This window comes from Homo sapiens, chromosome 7 (genome assembly GCF_000001405.40).
Source record: "Homo sapiens chromosome 7, GRCh38.p14 Primary Assembly".
Lineage (NCBI taxonomy): Eukaryota > Metazoa > Chordata > Mammalia > Primates > Hominidae > Homo > Homo sapiens.
Window position 1 is genome coordinate 119,586,710 of NC_000007.14, and position 9,299 is coordinate 119,596,008.

Sequence of the window (9,299 nt, forward strand, 5' to 3'; positions counted from 1 at the left end):
GAGGGAGGAGCCAAGATGGCCGAATAGGAACAGCTCCGGTCTACAGCTCCCAGCGTGAGCGACGCAGAAGACGGGTGATTTCTGCATTTCCACCTGAGGTACTGGGTTCATCTCACTAGGGAGTGCCAGACAGTGGGCGCAGGTCAGTGGGTGCGCGCACCGTGCGCGAGCCGAAGCAGGGCGAGGCATTGCCTCACTTGGGAAGCACAAGGGGTCAGGGAGTTCCCTGAGTCAAAGAAAGGGGTGACGGACGGCACCTGGAAAATAGGGTCACTCCCACCCGAATACTGCGCTTTTCCGACGGGCTTAAAAAACGGCGCACCACGAGATTATATCCCGCACCTGGCTCGGAGGGTCCTACGCCCACAGAGTCTCACTGATTGCTAGCACAGCAGTCTGAGATCAAACTGCAAGGTGGCAGCCAGGCTGGGGGAGGGGTGCCCGCCATTGCCCAGGCTTGCTTAGGTAAACAAAGCAGCCGGGAAGCTCCAACTGGGTGGAGCCCACCACAGCTCAAGGAGGCCTGCCTGCCTCTGTAGGCTCCACCTCTGGGGGCAGGGCACACACAAACAAAAAGACAGCAGTAACCTCTGCAGACTTAAATGTCCCTGTCTGACAGCTTTGAAGAGAGCAGTGGTTCTCCCAGCACGTAGCTGGAGATCTGAGAACAGGCAGACTGCCTCCTCAAGTGGGTCCCTGACCCCTGACCCCTGAGCAGCCTAACTAGGAGGCACCCCCCAGCAGGGGCACACTGACACCTCACACAGCAGGGTACTCCAACAGACCTGCAGCTCAGGGTCCTCTCTGTTAGAAGGAAAACTAACAAACAGAAAGGACATCCTCACCAAAAACCCATCTGTACATCACCATCATCAAAGACCAAAAGTAGATAAAACAACAAAGATGGGGAAAAAACAGAACAGAAAAACTGGAAACTCTAAAAAGCAGAGCGCCTCTCCTCCTCCAAAGGAACGCAGTTCCTCACCAGCAACGGAACAAAGCTGGATGGAGAATGACTTTGGCGAGCTGAGAGAAGAAGGCTTCAGACGATCCAATTACTCTGAGCTACAGGAGGACATTCAAACCAAAGGCAAAGAAGTTGAAAACTTCGAAAAAAATTTAGAAGAATGTATAACTAGAATAACCAATACAGAGAAGTGCTTAAAGGAGCTGATGGAGCTGAAAACCAAGGCTCGAGAACTACGTGAAGAATGCAGAAGCCTCAGGAGCCGATGCGATCAACTGGAAGAAAGGGTATCAGCGATGGAAGATGAAATGAATGAAATGAAGCGAGAAGGGAAGTTTAGAGAAAAAAGAATAAAAAGAAATGAGCAAAGCCTCCAAGAAATATGGGACTATGCGAAAAGACCAAATCTGCATCTGATTGGTGTACGTGAAAGTGATGGGGAGAATGGAACCAAGTTGGAAAACACTCTGCAGGATATTATGCAGGAGAACTTCCCCAATCTAGCAAGGCAGGCCAACGTTCAGATTCAGGAAATACAGAGAACGCCACAAAGATATTCCTCGAGAAGAGCAACTCCAAGACACATAATTGTCAGATTCACCAAAATTGAAATGAAGGAAAAAATGTTAAGGGAAGCCAGAGAGAAAGGTCGGGTTACCCTCAAAGGGAAGCCCATCAGACTAACAGCGGATCTCTCGGCAGAACCCTACAAGCCAGAAGAGAGTGGGGGCCAATATTCAACATTCTTAAAGAAAAGAATTTGCAACCCAGAATTTCATATCCAGCCAAACTAAGCTTCATAAGTGAAGGAGAAATAAAATACTTTACAGACAAGCAAATGCTGAGAGATTTTGTCACCACCAGACCTGCCCTAAAAGAGCTCCTGAAGGAAGCACTAAACATGGAAAGGAACAACCGGTACCAACCACTGCAAAATCATGCCGAAATGTAAAGACCATCGAGACTAGGAAGAAACTGCATCAACTAATGAGCAAAATCACCAGCTAACATCATAATGACAGGATCAAATTCACATATGACAATATTAACTTTAAACGTAAATGGACTAAATGCTCCAATTAAAAGACACAGACTGGCAAATTGGATAAAGAGTCAAGACCCATCAGTGTGCTGTATTCAGGAAACGCATCTCACGTGCAGAGACACACATAGGCTCAAAATAAAAGGATGGAGGAAGATCTACCAAGCCAATGGAAAACAAAAAAAGGCAGGGGTTGCAATCCTAGTCTCTGATAAAACAGACTTTAAACCAACAAAGATCAAAAGAGACAAAGAAGGCCATTACATAATGGTAAAGGGATCAATTCAACAAGAAGAGCTAACTATCCTAAATATATATGCACCCAATACAGGAGCACCAAGATTCATAAAGCAAGTCCTGAGTGACATACAAAGAGACTTAGACTCCCACACATTAATAATGGGAGACTTTAACACCCCACTGTCAACATTAGACAGATCAACGAGACAGAAAGTCAACAAGGATACCCAGGAATTGAACTCAGCTCTGCACCAAGCAGACCTAATAGACATCTACAGAACTCTCCACCCCAAATCAAAAGAATATACATTTTTTTCAGCACCACACCACACCTATTCCAAAATTGACCACATACTGGGAAGTAAAGCTCTCCTCAGCAAATGTAAAAGAACAGAAATTATAACAAACTATCTCTCAGACCACAGTGCAATCAAACTAGAACTCAGGATTAAGAATCTCACTCAAAACCGCTCAACTACATGGAAACTGAACAACCTGCTCCTGAATGACTACTGGGTACATAACGAAATGAAGGCAGAAATAAAGATGTTCTTTGAAACCAACGAGAACAAAGACACAACATACCAGAATCTCTGGGAGACATTCAAAGCAGTGTGTAGAGGGAAATTTATAGCACTAAATGCCCACAAGAGAAAGCAGGAAAGATCCAAAATTGACACCCTAACGTCACAATTAAAAGAACTAGAAAAGCAAGAGCAAACACATTCAAAAGCTAGCAGAAGGCAAGAAATAACTAAAATCAGAGCAGAACTGAAGGAAATAGAGACACAAAAAATCTTTCAAAAAATTAATGAATCCAGGAGCTGGTTTTTTGAAAGGATCAACAAAATTGATAGACCGCTAGCAAGACTAATAAAGAAAAAAAGAGAGAAGAATCAAATAGACGCGATAAAAAATGATAAAGGGGATGTCACCACCGATCCCACAGAAACACAAACTACCATCAAAGAATACTACAAACACCTCTACGCAAATAAACTAGAAAATCTAGAAGAAATGGATAAATTCCTGGACACATACACTCTCCCAAGACTAAACCAGGAAGAAGTTGAATCTCTGAATAGACCAATAACAGGAGCTGAAATTGTGGCAATAATCAATAGCTTACCAACCAAAAAGAGTCCAGGACCAGATGGATTCACAGCCGAATTCTACCAGAGGTACAAGAGGAACTGGTACCATTCCTTCTGAAACTATTCCAATCAATAGAAAAAGAGGGAATCCTCCCTAACTCATTTTATGAGGCCAGCATCATTCTGATACCAAAGCCAGGCAGAGACACAACAAAAAAAGAGAATTTTAGACCAATATCCTTGATGAACATTGATGCAAAAATCCTCAATAAAATACTGGCAAAACGAATCCAGCAGCACATCAAAAAGCTTATCCACCATGATCAAGTGGGCTTCATCCCTGGGATGCAAGGCTGGTTCAATATACGCAAATAAATAAATGTAATCCAGCATATAAACACAACCAAAGACAAAAACCACATGATTATCTCAATAGATGCAGAAAAAGCCTTTGACAAAGTTCAACAACCCTTCATGCTAAAAACTCTCAATAAATTAGGTATTGATGGGACGTATTTCAAAATAATAAGAGCTATCTATGACAAACCCACAGCCAATATCATACAGAATGGGCAAAAACTGGAAGCATTCCCTTTGAAAACTGGCACAAGACAGGGATGCCCTCTCTCACCACTCCTATTCAACATAGTGTTGGAAATTCTGGCCAGGGCAATTAGGCAGGAGAAGGAAATAAAGGGTATTCAATTAGGAAAAGAGGAAGTCAAATTGTCCCAGTTTGCAGACGACATGATTGTATACCTAGAAAACCCCATTGTCTCAGCCCAAAATCTCCTTAAGCTGATAAGCAACTTCAGCAAACTCTCAGGATACAAAATCAACGTGCAAAAATCAGAAGCATTCTTATACACCAACAACAGACAAACAGAGAGCCAAATCATGAGTGAACTCCCATTCATAATTGCTTCAAAGAGAATAAAATACCTAGGAATCCAACTTACAAGGGATGTGAAGGACCTCTTCAAGGAGAACTACAAACCACTGCTCAAGGAAATAAAAGAGGATACAAACAAATGGAAGAACATTCCATGCTCATGGGTAGGAAGAATCAATATTGTGAAAATGGCCATACTGCCCAAGGTAATTTACAGATTCAATGCCATCCCCATCAAGCTACCAATGACTTTCTTCACAGAATTGGAAAAAACTACTTTAAAGTTCATATGGAACCAAAAAAGAGCCTGCATCGCCATGTCAATCCTAAGCCAAAAGAACAAAGCTGGAGGCATCACACTACCTGACTTCAAACTATACTACAAGGCTACAGTAACCAAAACAGCATGGTACTGGTACCAAAACAGAGATATAGATCAATGGAACAGAACAGAGCCCTCAGAAATAACGCCACATATCTACAACTATCTGATCTTTGACAAACCTGAGAAAAACAAGCAATGGGGAAAGGATTCCCTATTTAATAAATGGTGCTGGGAAAACTGGCTAGCCATATGTAGAAAGCCGAAACTGGATCCCTTCCTTACACCTTATACAAAAATCAATTCAAGATGGATTAAAGACTTAAACGTTAGACCTAAAACCATAAAAACCCTAGAAGAAAACCTAGGCATTACCATTCAGGACATAGGCATGGGCAAGGACTTCATGTCTAAAACACCAAAAGCAATGGCAACAAAAGCCAAAATTGACAAATGGGATCTAATTAAACTAAAGAGCTTCTGCACAGCAAAAGAAACTACCATCAGAGTGAACAGGCAACCTACAAAATGGGAGAAAATTTTCGCAACCTACTCATCTGACAAAGGGCTAATATCCGGAATCTACAATTAACTCAAACAAATTTACAAGAAAAAAACAAACAACCCCATCAAAAAGTGGGCGAAGGACATGAACAGACACTTCTCAAAAGAAGACATTTATGCAGCCAAAAAACACATGAAAAAATGCTCACCATCACTGGCCATCAGAGAAATGCAAATCAAAACCACAATGAGATACCATCTCACACCAGTTAGAATGGCAATCATTAAAAAGTCAGGAAACAACAGGTGCTGGAGAGGATGTGGAGAAATAGGAAGACTTTTACACTGTTGGTGGGACTGTAAACTAGTTCCACCATTGTGGAAGTCAGTGTGGCGATTCCTCAGGGATCTAGACCTGGAAATACCATTTGACCCAGCCATCCCATTACTGGGTATATACCCAAAGGACTATAAATCATGCTGCTATAAAGACACATGCACACGTTATGTTTATTGCGGCATTACTCACAATAGTAAAGACTTGGAACCAACCCAAATGTCCAACAATGATAGACTGGATTAAGAAAATGTGGCACATATACACCATGGAATACTATGCAGCCATAAAAAAGGATGAGTTCATGTCCTTTGTAGGGACATGGAGGAAATTGGAAATCATCATTCTCAGTAAACTATCGCAAGAACAAAAACCAAACACCGCATATTCTCACTCATAGGTGGGAATTGAACAATCAGATCACATGGACACAGGAAGGGGAATATCATACTCTGGGGACTGTTGTGGGGTGGGGGGAGGGGGGAGGGATAGCATCGGGAGATATACCTAATGCTAGATGACGAGTTAGTGGGTGCAGCGCACCAGCATGGCACATGTATACATATGTAACTAACCTGCACAATGTGCACATGTACCCTAAAACTTAAAGTATAATAAAAAAAGAAAAAGAAAAAAGACTCAAATCAGGCGATTGTTAAATTGTATCTATATGCTTGATTTGTTTATTTTTAAAGGACATGGCCATGCCTTGATTAAACCATAGAGGTAAATGAACTCATCTTTGAATGCTCAGTTGCTTTGAGTGCCTTCTATGTGCCAGATCCTATGTTCTCTGCTGAGAGTGGCCTGGAGAGTGTCAACTGCAGGTTTGCGACCACGGGCTCCCTGCCCAGCAGGATCTCCCACCCAGCCACAGACACAAGGAAGACGGAGCCACCTCTTCTCCTGCCATAATCTCCCCGCATTTGAAGCCTCTGTCTCTGCTGGGAAGACCTAAGAAGGCTATGTCTACAGCTGCCTTAAAGCTATTAATTTTTAAAAGCCATTCCATGAGAGACCTCAAAAGTCACCTACCTGGCCAAGATCTAGCCTTAATCGACAATTGATTATCTTTGAAACCAACAAGGCAATAAATCATTAATTCATAATTTGAAAAAAAAAAAAGAAATAGTTTAGTTAAAGAACATCTTCATAAAGTAAAATAATGAGGAATCTGGCTGGGCGTCTTACCAAGGTTCAAGGGTGTCCAGTGTGTGGGAGGCACACACTCTTGTCTATTTATAGGCATTTTCTGGTAATTTGGTGAACTCAGCATGTTTTTTTAATCAGTGGTTAGGGGCTTGTATTTCTAGACATAATGAATGTATCCATAGAAAAAAATATGCAAGTGAAGTTCAAGTATGTGGGTGAATGGGAAAGCATACTTACATTTGTTAAACAGATTTTTAAAAGTCACTTAAATAAAACTTAGTATCCAGAACTTGGAAAATGAAGAGTTGGCACAAAAACTTTGGTTTTCGGTGCAGCAGAACATGCCAGGTTCCTGGGACCCTAACTAAGCTGTCTGCCCCTACTTTCTGCCTATGCACTGCCTTGTCTAGACAGAGCGATAGAGTTCATTATCAAGATTAAGAGAATACAGAGATATGCTCTGATGGAACAGAAATTATGTTTATTAGTTTTCAGACATAAAGGTTCTACATAGGGAGCAAGAGAAAGCTGACTTAGATGAGATATTGCTCAAAATGAAACTATCATATGGGGAAACAACTAAATTCTACCACAAAACACACTGAAGACTAGGCCAATGTGCACTGGCACTTTCAGCTGGAAAAACAGGCTCTTTAAATTTGAGGGTAGAAAGACTTTTTCATATTAATTAGGCAGTGTGCTGGAGATTCCATATCACCCTTTCACCTTTCTACATTCTGTCATGAGAACCGGAAGCCTGACATCCGTGGTTTGCTTCAACTTTGCTGTTTTGCCTACTAGCTCACAGTTTAGAAAAGCTTATAAAAGGTATTAGAAGGAGACCAGAATAAGAAGAAGAAGTTGGGGCATTTATTTTCATCGTGCCCTCTTTTGGACGTCAGACTGTTAGTAGTACTCTGTCTTTACTAAGGTCACATCTTCTGCCCTGCCATCTACTATGACATCTACAATTATTTCTGGATTCTTGTAACCACTCCTTGTCTTTGCTTTTGCAAGCCTAAGGATTGGTAACAGCTTTCCACTATTTCTAGGCCAGTGGTGCTTCAGCATCTTTTTGGGATTTCCTTTCGCTTTGAAGTTTTTGTCATTGTTGTTGCTTTTCTTAAATCTCTTTAATAAATATAGTTAAAATTATTTTATTAAATTTTCTTTAATAATTTTATTTTTGTGTGTGTCATCTGTTTTACATCAGGACCAGACTGAAAAAATATTAATTGTAATAGTGACATGAAGAAATAGATTTTCAAAATGAAATTTAAAAATCGAGTTACTCATTCCTTGAAAAAAGGAAAGGAGACACTTTATTAATGGCTTGAGTGGTAGTTCACAATTACTTACATCATCACTTGTGGTAACATGGGATGCCACTCTGGTAGAGTTCAAGGCATTGAGAGACCAAGTGCTTGAGCAGTCAGTCATCATCACAGTAGTGATGATAACACTGATTGTGCCATGATTGTTTAATGTCTCTGGGGAGAACACATGTAACATGAAATTAATGGATAACTTGAATGGACATCTCTGGGCACAGGTGAAAAAAAATCGTAGGCTTTTGACAGCAGTGAATGGTTCTACAAAGAAGCTGTGGCTAAATCATCAAGCAAACACTGTATTAGGCCATTCCTGCATTGCTATAAAAAAATACCCAAAGATGGATAATTTACCAAAAAAAAGTTTTAATAGGCTTATGGTTCTGCAGGCTGTACAGAAAGCATGGTGCTGACACCTGCGCGGCTTCTGGTGAGGTCTTGGGAAGCTTTACTCATGGCAGAAGGCAAATCAGGAGGAGGCAATTCACATGGCAAGAGGAGAAGTAAGCGAGAGAGAAAGGAGAAGCCCCAGATTCTTTTAAACAAAAGGATCTTGTGTGAACTAACAGCAGGAAATCACTTATCACCAGGAGGATGGTGTTTAGCTATTCATGAGAGATCTGTCCCCATTATCTAGTCACCTCCCACTGGGTCCTACCTATGACATTGGGAGTCACATTTCAACATGAGATTTGGAGGGAATGAACATCCAAACCGTATCACAGGCCTAATGGTAAGGGTCACAGTGTTATAGTGCCAGTTAAGTTAAATGTTAAACCACTCCAGAACCCTTATGCTAAGCTTGAGAAATGTGAAACTCGAAACATGGGTTGAATATATTTGGGTAGACAGAGATTAGGCAGATGACTCTGACCTCTCAAGTTCTCCTGCGCTTTTTTGCTTTTTCTGCCAGGAATAGCAGCCTTCTCTTTACCCATTCTACATATCCTCTAGGGGAGGTCAAAATTTTATATTACCTGTTGTAATTTGTAACAAAATTGCAAAATTTTACATTACCTCGTACAGTTTCTTCACTAGAGAAAGCCAGCTATATTTGTAACTTTTCTCTCTATTTCCCCTTGCCTCTGATCCCATAATAAGAGTTAGGTCCTATCATAACAAAGAGGAAGAGGTACAAGGAGGCAATCTCCTATATGTACTAACTGAGTGGTAGATCTTTTCAGCAACTATAGGGTACATGTTGTAGAAGTGCAGTCTAACTATATTAGATAAAAGAGGATTTTTTTCCTAGTCAAATGTACATTATGGTGCCCCCCCCACACACACACAAAATCTGTAGTTAGCATGCTTTCTTGAGCTTCAGAAAATAGAATTAACAATGTGTTGGTGTCATAGATTAATTCCTAGACTTAAATGTGGTCTACAGTAAATGAGATAGAAGTGCTGTAATTTTCTAG

The 9,299-nt window shown here is 41.1% G+C and overlaps 2 annotated features.

Moving 5' to 3' along the window:
* Positions 246–843: an enhancer, noted in NCBI's record as "NANOG-H3K27ac-H3K4me1 hESC enhancer chr7:119227009-119227606 (GRCh37/hg19 assembly coordinates)". NCBI's record gives its function as "activates a minimal SCP1, AML or CMV promoter by ChIP-STARR-seq in naive H9 embryonic stem cells {active_cell/tissue: H9 hESC(naive)}" and the evidence as "EXISTENCE:reporter gene assay evidence [ECO:0000049][PMID:30033119]".
* Positions 7,923–8,848: an enhancer, noted in NCBI's record as "OCT4-NANOG hESC enhancer chr7:119234686-119235611 (GRCh37/hg19 assembly coordinates)". NCBI's record gives its function as "activates a minimal SCP1, AML or CMV promoter by ChIP-STARR-seq in naive and primed H9 embryonic stem cells {active_cell/tissue: H9 hESC(naive and primed)}" and the evidence as "EXISTENCE:reporter gene assay evidence [ECO:0000049][PMID:30033119]".